Source organism: Homo sapiens, chromosome 8 (genome assembly GCF_000001405.40).
Source record: "Homo sapiens chromosome 8, GRCh38.p14 Primary Assembly".
NCBI classification, from domain to species: domain Eukaryota; kingdom Metazoa; phylum Chordata; class Mammalia; order Primates; family Hominidae; genus Homo; species Homo sapiens.
Genome location: NC_000008.11, coordinates 90637759 through 90659463, shown reverse-complemented (window position 1 = coordinate 90659463; position 21705 = coordinate 90637759). Strand labels below are relative to the sequence as shown.

General features: G+C 41.4%; 1 protein-coding gene and 1 long non-coding RNA gene across 3 annotated transcripts in view, besides 3 other annotated features; one reads left to right on the top strand and one right to left on the bottom strand.

The window, feature by feature from the left end:
- Positions 1 to 7706: 7706 nt before the first annotated feature.
- LOC124906712 (translation initiation factor IF-2) lies at positions 7707 to 13023 on the bottom strand. Its single transcript, NR_185471.1, has 2 exons — positions 12831 to 13023; positions 7707 to 10986 (listed from the first exon to the last, which is right to left on the bottom strand). It is a non-coding gene; the product is annotated as a translation initiation factor IF-2 (long non-coding RNA).
- Positions 12975 to 13384: a silencer, noted in NCBI's record as "silent region_19352". NCBI's record gives its function as "represses an Ori minimal core promoter by ATAC-STARR-seq in GM12878 lymphoblastoid cells {active_cell/tissue: GM12878}" and the evidence as "EXISTENCE:reporter gene assay evidence [ECO:0000049][PMID:35858748]".
- TMEM64 (transmembrane protein 64) overlaps positions 13381 to 21705 on the top strand; it is a 24089-nt gene continuing 15764 nt past the window's right edge. Inside the window, exon 1 of one of the 2 annotated variants that reach the window (NM_001008495.4) lies at positions 13381 to 14353. In NM_001008495.4, coding sequence (NP_001008495.2) covers positions 13559 to 14353 — 795 coding nt within the window. In that variant the 5' untranslated portion in view covers positions 13381 to 13558. The remainder of the gene's footprint in view (positions 14354 to 21705) is intronic. The other variant, NM_001146273.1, reaches the window with a different exon arrangement.
- Positions 13515 to 13914: a silencer, noted in NCBI's record as "silent region_19351". NCBI's record gives its function as "represses an Ori minimal core promoter by ATAC-STARR-seq in GM12878 lymphoblastoid cells {active_cell/tissue: GM12878}" and the evidence as "EXISTENCE:reporter gene assay evidence [ECO:0000049][PMID:35858748]".
- Positions 14025 to 14354: an enhancer, noted in NCBI's record as "active region_27613". NCBI's record gives its function as "activates an Ori minimal core promoter by ATAC-STARR-seq in GM12878 lymphoblastoid cells {active_cell/tissue: GM12878}" and the evidence as "EXISTENCE:reporter gene assay evidence [ECO:0000049][PMID:35858748]".

The window sequence follows — 21705 nt, the reverse complement described above, 5'->3', positions numbered from 1 at the left end:
TTACCATTCCACTGGAGAGAACTTATTCATGTGGCTACTTCTAGCTGTGAGTAAAACTAAACAATTGTATTTCTAGCTGGGTGGCCATGGATCCAGCTTTAACTCTACCACTATGCAAACTGGAGGAACAGATGGAAGAAGAACTAGTGTGTGACGTTAGAAAATCTTAACTCTCCTAATTGTACCTTTTAAAAAATTAAACAGGCCTTTAGCGGAGTCAACACAAGATATGCATGTAGTTAATCATCATCTTCATTCATAGATTGAAAAATGAATATTAACTTTCTTGAATTTTTAAAATTCCTTATTGTGTTCGACATTTATTACCTTTGAGGGAAGAAACTATTTTTCTATAGTTTAGAAGTCATTTTTAGACATGGTTAGCATTAGTCATTGTTATTTTCTTTTTTGAAAATGTATTTTGCAGAGATGGGGTCTCACTATGTTGTCCAGGGTGGTCTCAAACTCCAGGTCTCAAGCAATCCTCCTGCCTTGGCTGCCCAAAGTTCTGGGATTACAGGTGTTAGCCACTGCACCTGGCCATTTTTTTTATTACTATCTTTAAAACTCTCTTATAAAATATACGTCTTACATAACTTATCCTTTGCTTTCCATGAGGAAGTATTTCTTGTGGCTTCTTGCTCTCTGTGGTGGTTAAATTAATTACCTGGTAAGTGGGTGACAGTGATTGGCCTAGGTTAGTCTGTCTGCTCTACACTCAAATCTTCCAGCTACTGGGCTATTCCAAGGTTCCTGCTGGCAGTAGAGAGTTATTATTTGGCTCTCACTCTAAGGTCCATTCTCCATCAACTCTATCAGGAATATTGTTAAAGTTTTGACCTTCAGTTGACTGACCTACATCTCTCTCAACAGTTCAAAACTTAGGTGGTGAGGAGGTCTAATTTATTAACCCCCCTTACCCCAATACTGAGGAAATGCATTATGCAAGTTTTTGTTTCCCATATGATTTGTGAGCACAAAATGGTGAATCAGAGAAGTTCCTGAAAGACTGCAGCCAAAGACTGTGTTTAATATTGCTATAAAGAAAGGGTAAAATTTCTGTCCAAGGGAGGAATTTTTTTTCGATTTATTTATTGTTGTGGGAAGTCAGGGACCCTGAATGGAGGGACTGGCTGGAGCCGAGGCAGAGGAACATAAATTGTGAAGATTTCATTTTAATATGGACATATATTAGTTCCCAAAGTTAATACTTTTATAATTTCTTATGCCTGTCTTTACTGAAATCTCTGAACATAAATTGTGAAGATTTCATTTTAATATGGACATTTATTACTTTCCAAATTATACTCTTATAATTTCTTATGCCTGTCTTACTTTAATCTCTTAATCCTATTATCTTCATAAGCTGAGGATGTATGTCACCTCAGGACCACTATTGTGTTATCTGTACAAATTGATTGTAAAACATGTGTGTTTGAACAAAATGAAATCAGTGCACCTAGAAAAAGAACAAAATAACAGTGATTTTCAGGGAACAAGGGAAGACAAACATAAGGTCTGACTGCCTGCAGTGTGGGGCAGAATAGAGCCATATTTTTCTCCTTGCAGAGAGCCTATAAATGGACGTGCAAGTAGGGAAGATATCGCTGAATTCTTTTCCTAGCAAGGAATATTAATAATTAAGATGGTGGGAAAGGAATGCATTCCTGGGGGGAGGTCTATAAATGGCTGCTCTGGGAGTGTCTGTCATATGTGGTTGAGATAAGGACTGAAATACGCCCTGGTCTCCTGCAGTACCCTCAGGCTTATTAGGGTGGGGAAAACAACCCACCCTGGTGAATTTGAGGTCAGACTGGTTCTCTGCTCTCAAACCCTGTTTTCTGTTAAGATGTTTATCAAGAAATATGTGCACAGCTGAACATAGACCCTTAGTGGGAGTTTTTTATTTCGCCCTTTGCCTTGTGATCTTTGCTTTGCCCTTTGCCTTGTGATCTTTATTGGCCCCAGAAGCATGTGATCTTTGTTCTCCTTTTTGCCTTTTGATGCATGTGATCTTTGTGACCTACTCCCTGTTCGTACACCCCCTCCCCTTTTAAAGTCCTTAATAAAAACCTGCTGGTTTTGTGGCTCAGGTGGGCATCATGGTCCTACCAATATGTGATGTCACCCCTGGAGGCCCAGCTGTAAAATTCCTCCCTTTGTACTCTTTCTCTTTATTTCTCAGCTGGCTGACACTTAGAGAAAATAGAAAGAACCTACGTTGAAATATTGTGGGCGGGTTCTCCCAATAATTTATTATTATTATTTTTAGATGGAGTCTCACGCTGTCACCCAGGCTGGAGTGCAGTGGCGTGATCTTGGCTCACTGCAACCTCCACCTCCTGGGTTCAAGCAATTCTCCCTACTTCAGCCTCCCAAGTAGCTGGATTACAGGGCCCCCCCCAACTACACCTGGCTAATTTTTGTATTTTTAGTAGAGACTGGGTTTTGCCATGTTGGCCAGGCTGGTCTTGAACTCCTGACCTCAAGTGATCCACCCACCTCAGCCTCCCAAAGTGCTGGGATTACAGGCATGACCCACTGCGCCAGTCTTTTATTCAGTTTAAACCCCATATGAAAGTTATCCTTCCAGTCAAAAGGAGCAAAATGTAACTCCTATCTTACTCCCACCCCACTCCATACTTTCCTTCCACCCCCTGTGCAGTCCTAACCAAGGACACACCACAAAGGCTGTAGTCCAATCCAAGAGACACAGAGGGTTCATGGGCTGCAAAAACAGAAAGGCTAATGAGTTATAAATATTTAGTAATGAGGATTAAGGAAAGCAACTACTTTGGATATACTACTGACAGAAATTATATTGATGGGAAAATTCAAAATCTGCAAAAAGATAAATAAGTGTTTGTACAAAGATTTGATTATTTCAACAGCCCCGCAAGAGATAAGAACATCGTATAATTCAAGAAGAGTGTCATCAGGACCAAGCCACCTGAAAAAGAAAAACATTCAAAGGAGGATAGATCAGAATAGAGACTATTCCTTAAATATTCTTGGCTAAGGGCTCCATAGTTGCTAGACAGAGAAGCTGGAAGTTAATTTCAAAACCTCCCTCTAAGTGTTTAATATAATTGGTATCAACTTACTCAATTATATTTATGTTTCCATTTTGTGGCTTCCACCAGTCTCAATTTATCAATTTCTTATAGTTTTCATGAAGTCTTTTATGTACTGGGGGTCAGGGGACAGGGCTCCTACACTTGTTGAAGTATATTCAGGCTGGAAACACCACAATTTTATTTTAACTTTTATTTTAGGTTCAAGGGTACATGTGCAGATTTGTTATATGGTAAACTGTGTGTCATGGGAGTTTGGTGTACAGATTATTTAGTCACCCAGATAATAATCATAGTATCCAATAGGTATTTTTTCTGAACCTCTCCCTCCTCCAACCCTCTACCATCAAGTAGGTACTAGTGTCTGCTTTCCCTTCTTTGTGTCCATGTGTTCTTATTGTTTAGCTCTCACTTATAAGTGAGAACATGAGATATTTTGGTTTTCTGTTCCTGCATTAGTTCCCTCAGGATAATGGCCTCCAGCTCCATCCATGTTCCTGCAAAGAACATCATCTCATTCTTTTTCATGGCTGTATAGTATTTCATGGTGCATATACACCACATTTATCAAGTCTACCATTGATGGGCATTCAGATTTATTTCCTGTCTTTGCTATTTGTGAATAGTGCTGCAATGAATATATGCATGCATGTGTCTTTATGGTAGAACAATTTATATTCCTTTGGATATATACTCAATAATGAGATTGCCAGGTTGAATGGTAATTCTGTTTTGAGTTCTTTGAAGAATTGCAACACTTATTTCTACAATGGCTGAACTAATTTATACTCCTCCCTCTCTTTTCTCCACAACCTTGCCAGTATCTGTTATTTTTTGACTTTTTAATAACAGCCACTCTAATTGATGTGAGATGGTATCCCATTGTGGTTTTGATTAGCATTTCTCTAGTGATTAATAATGTTGAGCATTTATTCATATGCTTTTTGGCCACATGTATGTCTTTTTTTGAGAACTGTTCATGGCCTTTGCCTATTGTTTAATGGTGTTGTTTACTTTTTGCTCAAAAATTTGTTTAAGTTTCATATAGATCCTGGATATTAGACATTTGTCAGATGCATAGTTTGCAAATATTTTCTCCTATTTTGTAGGTTGTCTGTCTACTCTGTTGAGTTTCTTTTGCTGAAACACCACAACAGATTTACAGCCAAGGTTCTGATACTAAGAGTGGGTGCAATGAGTTCTGCAACCACTAGAAGTGGGTTCAGCACCCCTAGAAGATTCCTTAGGAAGTTTTGCTCCTATCTGAGTGGGCTTCGGGTTACACATTTTTGAGATATGACTGCTGAATGACCATGACTGGGCCATCTCTTTATCTAGCTGTAAAGGCCCAGCTCATGATACTGGCAAGAACATGATCTAAAACTTTGTATGGTTTGTTGGTGGAATAAGATTCTTTGAATTCATAAACACTATAGAATTTCATTTATATTGTGGAACATAATTATAACATCCTGGACTCCTTCCCTTTCTCTTATTCCCCATATTCCATCATTGCAAGTAATCTTGTTATGCTTTAGACATTCTCAAGTTTATTTCATCTTTCCATAAATGGGTTGCAGTCTATTTACTCTGTCTCTTGGACATGTGACATAATCTACCAAGTGGTTTCCTTCCCTGGTTCTCCTCATAGCTTTTAGTAAATTTTCTAAATCCAAATATGTTTATTTCTTTCTAAAGCTCTAACAATTCCAGGGACTCCCATTTGATTATAGGAAGAAGTCCAGAAAACCAGAAATGGTTCTTAAAGTATGGTCCCAAGACCAGCTGCACCAGTATCACCCGGGAATTTGTGAGAAATGCAAATTCTTGCTTTCCAAGGCCACACACCAGCAGAATTAAAAACTCTGGGGATGAGGCCCAGTAAACAGTTCTTTGAAAAGCTCTCCTGGGAATTCTGATGCATGCTCAAGTCTGCAAACCACTGTTAGAGGATGGTATATTTGTTGATATTATTTGCCTGGCTTCCCCCAGAGTACATAGAGGTGCATTCTATGCATGTGTCCTCAGAACAGCTTGCCACTTCCCAAGCACATTGTACCTTTTCATACTTCTGTGCTTTGGCACTTTCTGTGCCTGAAAGGCTATTCTACTCTCCCACTGTCTGCTCAAATCCCAGAGACAGCTTAAATCCTTTTGAAATGAGTAAGATGTAAATAACTGTATACTTATCCTTCAACACCCAGCTCAAATATCATTATGGCTGCAAAACTTTCTCTGACTCCCAGGCAGATTTAGTTATTCCTTCTGACAGTGCTGTCACTGTATTTAACACTTTGTGGTGCAGTTGTTTAGGCCGTCTCACACTGAAAGATGGATTCTTGAGGGTACACCTCCAATGTATCCTTTAAAATGCTGGGATCACAGTAGATGCCCAACAAGACATTTTTGAGTAAGATCTTATTTGGTGGCTTAGCAGGCAAGCCCCTCACTTCCTGTGCTTTGTTTTTCACTCCTTTCTTTTAACTGAAGATGAAGTTTCCCCTCTTCTTCCTCTTCAACTGAGAGCACAGGTTTGGGAGAGAAGGTTGTAAAGAGATGAGGTCAGTCACGTTAAGCCTAGAGTTCCACAGAGTATAGATCTTTCCTCCCTAATTCATATCTTATAAATGAAACAAATAATATTGATGCAAATCCAGATTCAAGTTCAAATTCTTAAAATTTTCTCCAATCATAGATTTTATTTAAGTCTTGATTAATGAGAAGAGTTATAAAACCATAGTATTTAATAAATCTTGAAAGACATTATTCTGGGTGACTAAAAAGACATTATTAGTGTGACTAAAAAGTAATGAATTTATTCTGTGAAAGTAATCAATATAAGTTTCTAATCATATTTTCTATACTAGTAAACAAAGGTTCATTGGCAGTAGAATATTCTGAATTTTCCTTTTACTTACATTTTTAAACAAAAATTTAAGGTGGATAGTTTATATTAGTTTTTCTCCTTAGTATGCTATACGGTGTTAATTAGCATAGTGGCTAGACTGAGAAGTACTTTGTGTGTATATCAACTTGTATGGTAACGTAAGTATAATAACAGTAAGATTTGGCATTTTTGTTCACCTTTATAAATGAACAACAGTTTTCTTTTTGGAATCCTGAAATACTATTTCCCATGAAATTGAAATTAATGGAAACTGGAAACACCAAATCTTCTGAGTCTTCTGGACTGGAAGTCACATCTGCAGAGTCAACCTATAATTTTTCATTTTCTGACTGGGAGTGGTAATTAGCTAAACAATTACTTAGCTAATACGAGTTGGTGATTCCCCTTTCTCTGCTAATCCTTATATGTTGCCTCCACCAAGACTCACTTCTTTGGGTCAAATATGTAGTGAGGAGCAGTGTGAGAGGGAGACTGGAGAGACTCCTCAGGGCGGTGCGTACTTGGTGAAGCATGGGCGGGTGTGTAAATATGAGGATGGCAGATCAAGCATGGATGAGATTGCAGCATTTCCCACTACAACTGTAACCTTGCATGGGAGAGTTGTCCAAGATTGGTTATTTTCACCATTAGCTCAGAGTATCAAGGACACCTTCAGTTTCAAGTGTCTAGTTAACACATCCAAGGAACAGAACTAGGAGCACTATTTGGAAACGGCCACCCCATCTGGAGTCATTGTGCTTTCCCTTGCCATCCTAAACCTTTCAACACCACTCTGATGCACGCACCACACAGGCTTTGTAATGGAGTTATTGTTCTTTTCTTCACAATTGGATTGTACTCCCTGAAGGTAGGAAATGCCTTTAATTCATCTTTATATTCTCAGAAGAGTCTAGCAAAGTATATACCCTCAATATACTCTTCCTGAACAAATAAGCTGAATACTCCTCATTCAGGAAGAATTAGTTGTTAACAGTAAAGAGCAATTTCATACAGGGTCCAAATGTACTTATTTAAATTACAGATCTTAAGCAAGTCTGAAAAAAAGGCACTTGTCTTCTGTAAAATGCACCAAAAAGGATCTACAAACTATTTGCCTTGCTAGCTGAAGAGCCTATTGAAGAACAGCCTTGTTCTCCTGAGGCCACCATTTGATGCAATGCACTTATAATTTCATTTCCTTTTGCTGCAGGAGTTATTCACTGAGGGATGCCTGGCTTATGTGTTTATGTGGTTCAGAATTTCATGAAGAATTCAAAGCTTCTGGTTAGCCACAGTGGCTCACACCTGTAAACTCAGCACTTTGGGAGGTCAAGGCAGGTGTATCACTTGAGCCCAGGAGTTCTAAAGAAGCCTGGGCAACATGGCAAAACACCATCTGTATAAAAAATACAAAAATTAGCCAGGTGGGGTGGCATATGCCTGTAGTCCCAGCCACTCAGGAGGCTGAGGTGGGAGGATAACTTAAGCCAGGAGGTGGAGGCTGCAGTGAGCCATGCACACTCCACTGCATTCCAGCCAGGGTGACAGAGCAAGACCCTGTCTCAAAAATAAAAAATAAAATAAAATAAATAATTCAAGCCTTCTGGAGCCCTGTTATAAAATAAACCAAATTCTAATTTTGAGCCCAGAACTCTAAAATCTCCCTTAATTAAAGATTTTAATGGGAGTCAGAGAAAGGCAAAAACACAGCAGGCCACCGAACCCAGAAGAAAAGGGGACTCCAATTGCATTTGATAAACCATTTGTATGAATAACAATAAATCACAGCAAACTAATTTTAACAGGTAGCTTCAACAACCACATATCAAAACACATTTAATGTTATGGGTGCACTTAAAATTAACTGAAGCTAATATTGTACAGTACACAGAAATTCATAATTATAAAATAGCAAATTTAGAGTTTAGAGAGTGATGTACCATTGAATTCGTTAATAGTATCTTCCCATTTTCCATTTAAATATGATTACTTAATGCTTGATTGGATTTTTCTCTTCGATCTCATTTTCAGTCCTCACAGATACTAACAAAGTACCACATCTAAGTCAGAAGTGTAGTGGCAAGTGTATAACAGGGAGCCTGGAAAAATTTGCTTATTGTATAATTGACACCTGAAGAGCTGAGAAGATAGATCAGTTCTTATTTTTGATCAGGAAAAGTCAGAAATGAAGCCCCAGGCTATCAAAGGGGAGAGAAAAACTACCTGCCAGTCCCCAACTACATTAAAATAAATCCTGAAATGACAGAATCTATTACGATTAGAAATAGGCAGTGGCAAATTTGCATTCATCTCTACATCTTTCCTTTGAATCTCAAAGGAAGCACTGTCTCCCCTGCATCTAATCCTTCCCCTAATATCTTAACCACATTCTCTTTCATCTCCTTTACAACCTGGCTTCATTATATTTCCTCTCTTCTGTGCCTTAATGCCCTCTTCTCTCCAGCCTTCTTTACCTCAATCTATAAACACACTGGAATCCTTCAGTTAGAATGTCCCCATCTTCCTCACCCTGTATTACCTTCTAGCTATCACCTTTTTCTTCCTTTCCATCCAAAATTATTAAAAGTGCTATCTAAACTCACTCTTTCATAGTTACCTTTCATTCACTCTCAAACTGGTGCAATTTGTCTGTTCCTGAAAGTACTTTCCCTAAGGCCCTAGTGGCTACCTTTAAAAGAAATATCTAAGGGACACTCATTGGTCCTTCTCTCATCTTGGGTCTTTATCTAGGTCAGTAGTGCCCAATCTTTTTCTTTTAGAAATAAAATTAAATAGAGAATTAAAGGCTTCTGGAGCCGTATTACAAAATAAACCAAATTTTAATTTTGAGCCTAGGACTCTAAAATCTCCCTTAATTAACAATTTTAATGAGAGTCAGAGAAAGGCAAAGGTGCAGCAGGCCACCAAACCCAGAAGAAAAAGGGACTCCAACTGCACTTGACAAACCACCTTAACATTCCATCTTTCCATCTTAACATCTTAACATTCTCTCTTCCTTGGACTTCTAATATAACAGTTTCTGCAGATCTCCTCACACTCCCTGAGTTTAAATTTGAAATCTGCTTCCACCACTTTCTCTGTGTGGCTATGGGTGAGTTATATGAACTCAAGTGTTAGCTGTACTGAGCTTGTCAGCCTCTGACCTGCCCCTGCTGTGTCAGTGAGAGTTCCTGCAGGCAACAAAAGCAACTGTAAATAGCGTCTAATCAAGGAAGTATTAAAAAGGATGACAAAGCATCAGAAAATCATTACTAGAGCTGGGAAAGAGTTGGAAACTTGGTAAATAAGAACTTTGTTCACAAAATTCAACCACTGCCAAAACCATAGTGAAACTCAACCGGGAAGAGATAAATACCCTGACCACTTCTCACCTGTACTACCCTCCAATATTCTGCTGGTGCCTCTCACTGGTCAAGCCTAACTGGAAATCCAGAGCCCAGTGGAGGCTGAGTGACACCGTCTCTAGAGGTCAACCTCCTGAGACACACAGCAAGCCAGCGAAGGGTAGACACTGAACCTGGATAGACGACACCAGAGAACAACCAGCACATGAGCACACTGCCCACCATCCCTTTCCTTCACTTAAAAAATATTTAGTGTGACAGGGACTATTCTAGGGAATCAGAGTACAGGGGTTCACAAGACAGGAAAGATACTCACTCTCATGGTATTTCATTCTGCTTATGGAAGACAGAAAGTAAAGGAATAAACAAGGCAATTTCAGGTGATGATAAGTGCTATGAAGAAAATAAGGGGTACCAGTAACCCGATGTAGAGAGGGCAGTCCTTTAGATGAGGGTAATCAGGGAAGTCATCTCTGAGGAGATGACAGGAGAGCTTAAAACGAATAAGAATGAAGAAACCAGGCTTTCTCAGAGCCAAGGGCAGAGTGTTCAAACAAGAAAGATTGGCAAGGGCAGAATGCAAATGTCCTGAGGAGGAAACCAGCTTGACTCATCCAAGGGAGACACAGGAGGCCTGGGTGGCTGGAACGTGTGAGAGGGAGGGTGGCAGGAGGTGAGGTAGGAATGTCAGGCAGAGGCTAGATCATAAAGGGCTTTGTAGGCCAGGCAGAGAGTTGGGTCTTTCCCTAACGCAATATAAGAGTTTTAGGCTGGTTGTAGTGGGCTGGTAGATATGGATTAAGACACATCTGATGTCCAATTGTAAAACATAATTTTCACAATTCTGTGAAAAATAAATTGTAGTGGGACGAGAATAGAAATATCCCACTACTGCTTGCATTGCTGTACCAGAGGTCCCATGCCCAGGAAAGCTAAATGATGTTTCAGGTAGGAGTGACACTGTTTAGAGCAGGATGGGCACCTGACCCAAGAGTAGCTCATTTCCAGGTTGGCTGGCAGCCCATGAAGCTACTTAGAGCTAAGAGCTCTGGAACTGGCTTATATTCTTCTGAAATGCAGACTAAAGGATAAGAAGTGGATTAATTAGCCAGTTGGTAGTGTGAGAATAGATTAAAGAGGTAGAGAAGAGCAGAGACACAATGAGAAAGAAATAAGAGAGTAGCTTATGCCTGGGCTCCTAATAGCTACTCATATACCCATATAAACACTTGTTCCTTCTTTTCATTAGTCTCTTGAGTTTCTCTTTCTTACAAGCAAAGGAGTCTAACAAGCACATTGGTGTTCACAAGTTTTCTTCCTTAAACCTCTTCTTCTCAGGCACATTATCCAGGATGACAAAGATCTGCTCTGGTAACAAAACTCAAATCTCAATGGCTTAAAACAACCAAGGTTTACTTCTCACTTTACATGTCCTTCATGATGTGACTGGGACTCTGTTCCGCATCATCTTCCCTCCAATACCAAGGCTGATCGTGCATATGCTCTCTGGAACACTGATGATTGCCATGGCAAAGAGAAAAAGAGTTCTGGAAGGTCTTGCATCAACAATTAAATGCTATGCTCACACTTAATTCGGAGAACATGTCATGTAGTTCAACCCCATCACAGGGAGGCCAGGGCATACAATCCTCCTATATTCCTGTAAGAGAACAGGAAATATTTGGCACACCTATCACCACGCACTCATTCATAAACATGGTCTTAATTGCTGCCCATATACCAATGTCAAAATTTCTAGGAGAGATGCCCCACTTAATTCCCTATCTATATTTTCAACCATCTACTGGAATACCACGTTTGGATGTTATCATAGGCACCTCAAGTCTCATGCATCAAGACTGAAGGCTATCTTTCTTACAGACTTGCTGTAGTCGCTTTCTTGGTCAATGGCCCCATTATCTATTACTTTAAATAAGAAATCCAGGTGTTATCCTTGACCTCTCCCTCTCTTCTGAAAACAAATCAGTTGCCCAGCTCCTCTTTAAACTTATCCCCATTCAACTAACACCAGGACCATTATCCTACTTCACTGATCCTCACAGCTTCTTGCCTATGCAATTTTGTCTGGTTTTCCTGCCTTCATTTCCCCCTACAAATGGCAATCATTTGTGTAAGCAACAAACATTTAAAGAGGGCTCATTGCTCCTTAGATTAAATAAGTAACGGGCCCATCTTGAAGAAACTCAAAGCTTAAAGAGGGAGACAGTGATGTAAACAAAAAATTACAATACAACGGGACAAATGTGATAATGGCCATACAGAAAGTAGCCTGGGAAAGGAAAGGAAATACCAAATTGAGGGTGATGGTGAAGGGAAGGTAGTGCAGGACTGATATGGTTTGGATTTGTGTCCCTGCCCAAATCTCATGTCAAACTGTATGTAATCCCCATTGTTGGAGGAGAGGCCTGGTGGGAGGTGATTGGATCATGGAAATGGAGTTCTCATGAATGGTTTAGCACTATCCCTCCTTGGTACTGTTTTACGGAAGTAAAACTTTAGGTAAATGCTGTGGCAGCAGTAAGAGCTGCTCCTCCGTGTGAGTCACAAGGCTTGGAAAAGAGAGTTGAAGGATGTAGCACTTGCCTGGCACCTAGTAGGGACTCTACCTGACTCAGCCCAACCAGGGTGGATAGGAGGGAATGGCATGGAGGAGCCTGATCAGCCAGCAAGCAGGAGCCTGATCAGCAACGACCTAAGGTGTCCTGGTCCGTTATCTGGCAGGCAACTGGGTGGAAGGTCATCCACTGAGATATGAAACCCAGAAGGAAGAGTCGGTCTATGGGGGATCACACTTTTAATGAGGGATACCATCACATAGTTAACATTTACTGACGACTGATTTCAGGCATAGTGCTAATCACCTTACTTTACTATTTTGTTTAATCCTCACAACACTCTTACGAAGCTAAGTTGTACCATTATCTCCATTTTGCAATTTAAAAAGAAACAATGAGATTCAGGGACTGATTGTTTGACCAGTTACTAAACGTGATTTGCACCAGAGCCCAAGTTGATCATCTATCTACCAAGCTCTGCTGAGTTTGAGCTGCCTGCAGAATTCCACCTGGATGTGTCCACAGGCCGGACCACAAGCTGGGAAGTGTGGGCAGAGACATTCACTTAGGGGTCACTTCTTATGGGGGGCACGGCAGGATCAAAGCTGTTGGGCCTGGATGAGATGGCTCAGGAAACTCTGAAAAGGAAGACGGCAAGAGGACCTGGGGAACACTAACCTTAAACAGGCGGAAAGAGGAAAAGAAACCAGCGAATGAGTTTGAGAAGCTGCCCTCTGAGAAAGCGAACTCTTAAAAATGTCCTTCAGTGAATCTTTTTCAAATGCCCCTAGACCAATGCCTGGCACTCGATAAAGGACCTCTGGAGTCAGAAGGGGCGTTCTGTCAAGGGGGTGGGGGGACTTTATGCCTAATTTTTCCAGCTCCTAAAGGACCAAGCCATATGAAACCCACAGGGAGACCTCGATACCTGGGAGGCAAGTCTGAGACAAGAATAGGGTCAAGGACCATAGCCAAACCCTCCTCAGAACACAAGAACTCTTTCCCCCATTCGACAGGGCAGCGGCGGATGTGAGCGCCACTCACAGCTGCCCGCTCTGATAAGAGGTTACTGCGGAAACGACCAGGAGGGAACGGGCGAGGATCCAAGCCGCTCACGGACTGGGGTCGCCTCGGTCCGAGAGGGGGAGCGCGCGCCCTGACACGCAGGCATGCGCGCGCCTGTGGGAAGTCGGGGAGCGCGCCTGGGCCCCTGCCCGTCGCCCGGCTCTCCCCTCGTTGCAGCCTCGCTCTCCCTAGAGCTCCTTCTCCCCTCCCAGTGGTTTCCCTCCGCAGCTGTGGGCCTCCGCTGGCCCACGCGGACGCCCCGCGACCCCCGCAGCCTGGCGGGCAGCGCGTCACGGGAGCGGACCAGAACACAGCCCGCTCCGCCCCATCGCCCGCGGCCCCGCCCCCTCTGGCCGACAAGGGGCGGGCACCACCGGAGTGGGCTCCGTGGGTGCTGGGGCAGGAGTTTCCTCACTCCCCGCCTGGCCGTCGCTCCTCCGCTGACTCCGCGCCCTTCTACGGGCCGTCTCCCACCCTCTGAGCGGACGCAGGGAGTCGATGCCGGGCGAACCGGGCGCCATGAAGGGCAGCTGCCTAACGGGCGCCGCGGCGGAGGGGCTGGCCGGCTGAGGGCCCGCGCTGGGCCGAGGCATGCGGAGCCCGGGCGGGATCCTGCTCCAGGCGCTGCCCCGGCTGCTGCAGCACGCCGCCCTCCCGGGCCTCGCCGAGCTGCCGGCCCGCTGGGCCCTGCCGCGGGGTGCGGGCGGGGACGGCCCGGCGGACCGCCTTCCCCGCGGGGGCGGGGCGAGCGCGGCGGCGGCAGCAGCGGCGGCCTCGGGCGCCCTGCTCGGCGCCTATCTGGAGCGCCACGGTCCGCCCGAGGCTTCGGAGCTGCCGGAGCCGGGCGGGGCCTTGGCGGGCGGCCCCGGGAGTGGCGGCGGCGGCGTGGTGGTCGGCGTGGCTGAGGTGAGAAACTGGCGCTGCTGCTGCCTCGGCAGCACCTGTTGGTGCCGGAGCCTCGTGCTGGTCTGCGTGTTGGCCGCCCTGTGCTTCGCTTCCCTGGCCCTGGTCCGCCGCTACCTTCACCACCTCCTGCTGTGGGTGGAGAGCCTTGACTCGCTGCTGGGGGTCCTGCTCTTCGTCGTGGGCTTCATCGTGGTCTCTTTCCCCTGCGGCTGGGGCTACATCGTGCTCAACGTGGCCGCTGGCTACCTGTACGGCTTCGTGCTGGGCATGGGTCTGATGATGGTGGGCGTCCTCATCGGCACCTTCATCGCCCATGTGGTCTGCAAGCGGCTCCTCACCGCCTGGGTGGCCGCCAGGATCCAGAGCAGCGAGAAGCTGAGCGCGGTTATTCGCGTAGTGGAGGGAGGAAGCGGCCTGAAAGTGGTGGCGCTGGCCAGACTGACACCCATACCTTTTGGGCTTCAGAATGCAGTGTTTTCGGTAAGTGGGGTCCCGCTGGCCTATCCCTCTCCAAGTCTGTTTTTGAGCGGTCTTGTGGCGGCCCTAGGAGGGCGCTCTATCAGATAAATACCAGCAGAGAAGTGACATTGACGGCAGGAGTTACGATTACTTTCCATCGCAGCCTGGGAAGTCTGTCCTACACATAAAACATACCTAACGCGGAGCCTCGAAAGAGAGTTTGTTAGATAAAAAACTAATGTTTCTTTTAGGGATGGGAATGTAATTAAAAATGAAAAGCCCTCTTAACAATAGGCATGCAGGGACATGAATGGAAATGCCCATCTTTAATACTTGTCATCTTTTGTAGCAGCTTTGGCAACATTTAGGGAGGAAAGCTTTCTCTCTTGCTTACATAAATACATCCAGGGTTTTGATTCAAGTTTTTAGCGACATGGACCAAAGGAAGTGTTTCAGTAAACAGTGGAGGAGCTAGTTGCAGACTCCAGATTTTGGAGTTTGCTAAATTTGAAATGGGCTTTTTCTTCTTCAAGTAATTGTGCTTTAATGTGATGTAAAGAAGAAAATCCTACTGTTTATCTTTCTTTCTTTGGAGGAACTTCATTTCGAAATCACGGGGTGGTGAATAAAACAGAACAGATAATCTTTTGCTCAGTTAGCATATATTTTTCTTCTGTATCTGCACCATTATAGACTCTTTTCTGTCCTTGTATTCATATGTTTTGCTTACTCAGGTTTCTATAGCTAGTGTGCATCTCCATGCAACTGATTTAGGATAGAAACACTGCTAGTGAAGAGATCATCTTATTGGAAGAAAGGAATCTGGTCTTTACAAACTTTGTGACTTTGGATCAAGTTACTGACCCTGTCTGGCTTCACTTTTCTCTTTTCGAAAGTGAAGGACTTAAAAAAGTAGATTACCATGTTCCCCAAATTCAGTGATTCTAAACTACCAAGAGTTTATGTAGATTCCCAGGAACTTAACCCTTCAGCTAGACTTAAAGAAAACTTACTGAAATAAAGAGATAATTGCATTCAAAACCATAGGAATTGATGTATTTTAAGTGATTCTGATGCATTATTTTGTTTCAAAACGTAAATTATTGTTAGTTTCTGGAAACTTTCTCATTTTGTTTTGAATTAGGAATAATACTAACCAATCTGCCTCTTTGTGATGAAATTAAAACCTTTCTCTTTTTTCTTTTCTTTTAAATGCCTTTTGCAAACCTCTTGATTCCAAGCAACAGCAGCAATGACTATGGAATGGTATTTGGTAGAGGCAGTGGAAACAGATAAGGGGTTTTCTGTAGAGATAAAGTTTAGTGTTAGCAGTAGTTTGGTATAGTCTTAGTCTTAAATTTCTTTTTCATACCCTCCTATAGTATGAAATATAAACTTGAACTTTGACCCAGTCTTGGGTAATAATAAATAAACTGTCCCAGGACTTTGAAAGAAGGTTGGGCTAAGGAACCTAAATAGATTGATTCTGTTAGTTTGTGTTTCAATATAGCATGTATCCTTGGGCCTTTTCTTGTCCATCTACCGTGTGCCAACTACTGTCCTCGGCTCTTTCCACATATTTCTGATCCTTAAACCAGCCCTGCAGAAGTTAATTATGCACATATTATAGACTAGTGTCTACTAGTTGGGAGCACAGGGCTGGTGTTGTGAAATCCTGCTGTCTGCTTAGAATCTAGTGACCTTGGGCAAGTTGTTTATTCTCTCTGGGCTTCAGTTTCTTATTTGTAAAATGAGGAAAGTAATGATACCTACTTCCATAGGATTATTGAGAAGATTACATGAGATGAATACATGCAGCAGAGCCTGGCTTAACAAACACGTGTTGGCTTTTGTCGTTTCTGTTGTTATGACCCAAGGTCACCAAGGTACTAAATTAATGGTAGAGTCAAACTTTGAACCATGGTCTGATGGCAGTGTCTCAACCAACCACCTCTTTATTTCTTGAATATATATTTAATGCCTGGTGTAGTCATGGGTAAATAGTAAGGGCTCATTATGTATTTATCGACTGACAATAAGGTAGGCTTTTCTTTTGATTTTGTCTCTTACATATTAAGTATATAACTAAGAGGTTGTATTTTGTGCTTGGTAATAATTTAAGGTAATCATGTAGTTGAAACTGAGCTTGACAAGGGACAAATCTCAATTTAGCATTGTGTGGTCAATAAAAAAGAAGGGAAAAAAAAGAAAAATGGCCTCTTGCAATAGGTATTATTGTCACCATTTCACTGAGAAGAAACAGAGGCTCAACCATCCAGGAACTTCTTCAGTCACCCACCTACCAAGTGGCTGAGCTAGGGTTTGAACCCAGGATCAGCTGATATGGTGCATCTTACTGTAAAATTTTGACTCAGCCATAGCAGGGTGGACTGTGAAGCCCCTGGATATGGTCTGTTATGTCCTGTTTATACCTATTGTTCTGAACTGCCTGCTTACAGAAGTAGTCCTTTCAACAAAAACAGTTTACTGAATTCAGCCAAGATATGTGAAAGAAAAGAAAGCTTAGTTAAGGCTGATGTTGGTTTTAGTCTGACTTGACTTTCTGCCTTCTAGAACTCCATTCTGCCTCCTCATGTATCCTCTCCACCTCATACCCCTCCTGCTGACCATAGCTGCCCCCTTTTCTAGGCATATTTCTTGTGTTTTCCACATCCCTCCCTATCTTTGAAATCATCCTTTTTTTTTTAAAGAAAAAAATTCCAGTTAAAACTCATTTTTTTTGTGTGCCCATAATTAGAGAAATTCATCTGGGCGTACCTCAAAGAAGTTAGGTGTAGTGGTCATGTGAGGCCCAGGCTTTGGAAATAGATGATCCTGAATTAGTCTGTGCCATCTGGCCTTCTCCATTTCCTCATCTGTAAAATAAAGTAGTTATGAGGCTTAAAAAAGCTGATACAGTGAAGGCATTAAGTATTTTGTCTGGCTCATAGTCACTTCCCAGTAATTGTTAAGTGTCATTATTGTTTGTAGTGGTGGAGGTAGTTGTATTCACATTTTAGAAGCAGGAGCTGATTGTAAAGGATAATATATGGAAGAAGGAAAGGTGCTTTCCCTTGCTTATCTCCTCTGAACCATTTTTTCCCCTTCTCCCATGCATGGTAGAAACTTGAAATGAGATTGGTTCCAACATTTACAGTGTCATCTTGAAGTAGTTATAGTTACTCTTTTGAGCTATACTTTCTGTTGTGGGATGTGTTTAATAATACCTGCTGCAAAGCTGTGATAAAATATATAGTTTGCTCATTATTTACTATTTCTTTCTCACCATCCTCTGCCTTCCAAAATAAGGACAGTGAAGTTGAGCTACTTTTTAAAAAAATTTAACAAATACCTACATTGTACTTAACTAATTCCTGGGCACTGTTTAATCATGCACACATAACTTATTTACTGTTCATTTCAGCCCTGATCCTCATCTTATAGCTGAAGCAGTTGAGGCACAGTGGTGAAATAACTTGCTCAAGATTACACAGTTAGTAAATGTTTAGAGTCATTAACTTATCCAGGCACTAGTGTTGGTCCAAGAAGAGCTGGATTTCCCAGACACATCCTGATTCCAGTTATAGAATACTTGTCTTAGAGCACCTTAAAGATCAGACATTATGGAGGACTGGGTAAGGTTCTATACAGTTGACTTAGGTATCATCCCAGATGTTAGAGCAGGGGTCAGAAAACCACAGCCCAATTTTGTATGGCATACAAGCTAAGATTGATTCTTCCATTTTTAAATGGTTGGAAAAAATACCACAAGAATATTTCATATACATGAGAATTATATGAAATTCAAACTTCAGCATCCGTAAATAGTGTTACTGGAATACAGCTGTGCTCATTTATGTGTGTGCTATGTGTGTCTCCTTTTAAGCCAAAACAGCAAATTGAGTAGTTACTACAGACCCTACTGCCTACAGAGCCTGAACTGTTTACTACCTGGTGCTTCATGGAAAAAGTTTGCCAACTTCTGCCTTAGAGTCACACCAACAAAACAGCTACCAAGGCTGAGCCCCTGCAACTGTAGGAAGAGGCCCTTAATTTCTCACATATATCTTGTATTTTTATTTAACAGAAAAAAAATTTTTAAAGCAATAAATGGGTACTGTGTGTAAAATGCAAACAAAATAGAAATGAGTAAATTTTAAAGTGCAAGACCTTACCCATCACCCTGGCTCACTTCTTAGGGAACTGCTTTATAGAATTGAATGTTACCAAACTGCCAGTTACTTTGGTTATTTATATGAGCCCACCATAGGTTTGAAGCAACAAATAGATTCTTTGTTTTGGAGGGAGCCGGGGAGCTGTGAAACTGGTACTGACTGAAATAATAATAGTGAAAGATGTCATCATAACTTTAAGCAGATATAACTGTTCTCAAGTTTTCTTTGAGTTTGCATTGAGCTATCAAGAAGATAAATTACTTTTACTAATTTAGTTTATATTTGAACTGAAATTTATTACAACTAAATAAAAGTTTTTGGCAAATGACTCTAAGACCACAAATACAGTATAGTCTTAGCTTATGCTATGGGGTCTTCTGGTTCTGTCTTAGCTCCTTTGTAGCCCTGGCGAAGTGATTTAATGATTCTGGCCTTCAGTTTTCCTTATTTGTAAAATGAGAGGGTACAGATGAGGTCAGAGTTTGCTTTTAAAAAGACAAATGTTCTGAGCAACAGTGTAACATTACCTTTTATTTTTTAACAGTTTAGTGATAGTATGTGTTATAAAAATACACATTTTCTCATTTTCTTGAGTTCTTATTCTGTAATATGTTTTCTTATTTTCTTAATTCTTATTCTGTGCTGTAGATAGAGCCATAGATTCAAAAAAAGATATGATCGGTCATAATACTTGTCACTGTATCAGTGTATCTAATGATGATTTCTTCTTACTATTAAAGTGTAATGATTCGCTGCCAGTGGTACAGTTCAGGCAAAATAGAAAGGCAGACACAGTCTGTGTTTTGAAAGAGTTGGAGTCTGGCCCTTAAGGGTCAGATAGGATGAACAAGTTGTGTAATGTCATCTCAGTGCACATCCTGAGACCTCACAATACCACTGAATGCAGTTGACCTTTATTTCCTTGAAACTGTTTTCCCCTCTTTGTGTCTCTTTAGTTATCTCATCAGCTTCTGCAGTTTTTGTGTCATATGTAGGCTTACAATTCACTAATCTATATCTCTAGCCTGTTATATTAATGTATATAGAGTATGTTTTATTAACCCTTCCTAGATTAAAAAAAATTTGTTTAAAAGCAACGAGGTTATTAAAACATGTTTTAACAATGTTTGTTTTTTCTGTCTGTATGTATTCATTGTAAAAACTTTGAAAAGTATAGCAAGTACAAAGAAAAACATCATTAACATTTTCGTGTTTATTTTTCTCTTTGCATTTTATTGATATGTATTTTAATATAATATTGAGTTAATGATTTTTGTGACCTTCTTTTACTTGAAGTAATGAACATCTTGTTATTACGTGTATTACAACATGACTTTTAATGACTGCACAGTCAGCTGTAGTTTTCCATCTTTGTATCTTTTTTATTCTGCTTAGAACTGGGTCTTAGATATATATAGAAGGCATATGATACATGTTTTAGTACAAATAATAAACCTATAGTATGTCAGACTGTATGAAGAAAAGCTTTTCAACTTGTGTTCCAGAAATTATGTACAATAAGATATACATTTTTCCCCCCTTGAGAGAAGATTCAAGGCCTCTGTGTGTATGTGGGTGGGAGGGTGGAAGGGGGGTTACACCAGATTCTCAAATAAATTGGTGACCTCTCCCTAAGATATTTGGGAACCATTAAAAGCAGTTCCTAATTTAGGGACAGTGAAGTCATGAAAAAGCTTGCATATGTGAAGATGCTTCTGTGTTGTAGACAGACATTGACCTAACCATTTCTGTCAGTAGAAATCTCTTTACCCTGAAGCCCTCTCTAGCTGTTAGGGTAGGGTCTCAGCACTGCTGCGGCCTTCTTGTTCTTTTTTTTTTTTTTCCTCCAGTAGCAAGACTTTTTTCAGTACTCTCAGGGTTGCTTGAGAGACCCTAACCAGAGGGTCTTAGCCTTGACATTAGGTTCACCATGGCGGTTTCTGGAAATATTTTTAGTATTCATTCAGTAAATAATTGGTAGGTGCCTAGTATGTGCCTGCTGCTGTTTTAAATGCTGGAGGTGTAGCCGTGAATAAAAGAAAGTCTCTCCCTTGAGGTGGTAGCATTCCAGTGGAGAAATAGCATTCTAGGTAAATCATGGTGTAAGTTTTGCTGATAATAAGCTAATTTTCATTTATAACATTTTTTCTGTGTGTTTGGCAGAGTGTTCTTAATTTCTGAAAATCCGATTAAAAATGGACATTGCATTCCAACTTGTTTATAAACTGGCAACTATTCTAGGTTTCCATATTTATAAATAAAGCATTATTGGTGTTGATACATCCAACCTCCAATAAACATATATTTAGCAACTAATATATAGTAGGCATTTGTTAAGATCTAGGGACACAATGAGGACCAAGAACGACAGATCCCTTTCCTCACAGAATTTATAGTCTGGGAAAGGACTGAGGGGCAAACAAATGGTGAAACCTTCAGTTGTTCTCCAGTGCAAAGGGGACAGGGAAGTATAGTGTTCTGTCAGAGCACTTGAAAGCACTTAACAAAGACTTGGGGCATCTGGGAAGGTTTCCTAGAGTAATTGATGACTGAGTAGTGAAAGACAGTGTAGGAGTTTTCGGAGTAAATGGAGTGGGAAGAAGGATGTGCTTGTTGTACTCCCCAGAAGGAACAACGTAGAAAGGCCCAGAGGGAAAGGGGAGCAAGTAGTGTTCTAGGAACTGAGAAAATTTTGATGTGACTGGGACATAGTGTGACAGGGTGCATGAAATGCTCAGAGGCCAGATCATGAAGCACTTTGCACTCTGAAGAACCTCATGGCAGTAGGAGGGAGTTTAAGCAGGATTAGGCTCACTTTTTAAAAAGATTTCTGCAGGGTTACCATAGGTAGTGAGTGGGGGTAGTCTGTGTAGTCAGGACCAAAGAGGAGACTGAATTAGAAATAGGCCCAGACGGTGGATAGATTTCCCCAGAGAAGGTGCGGTTGACAAGATGTAGTAGATATTGAATGTGGGAAATAAGGAATTAGCTATGTGCCTGACTGATGAGGTCTCCAGCTAGGGCCGCTGAGATTGGGAACACAGAAAAGATGAAGAGGTATTTTGGGGAGCAAAGGAAAGAGAATAGGTAGTTAATGTTTTTCTTGAAACTGATTTTTAAAGTTTTGATTTTCTGAGAGTGAAAAATAGTTGCCGCTTCTGAATTCTTTTTCTCTGTTCCCCAATTTTTCTGAAATAT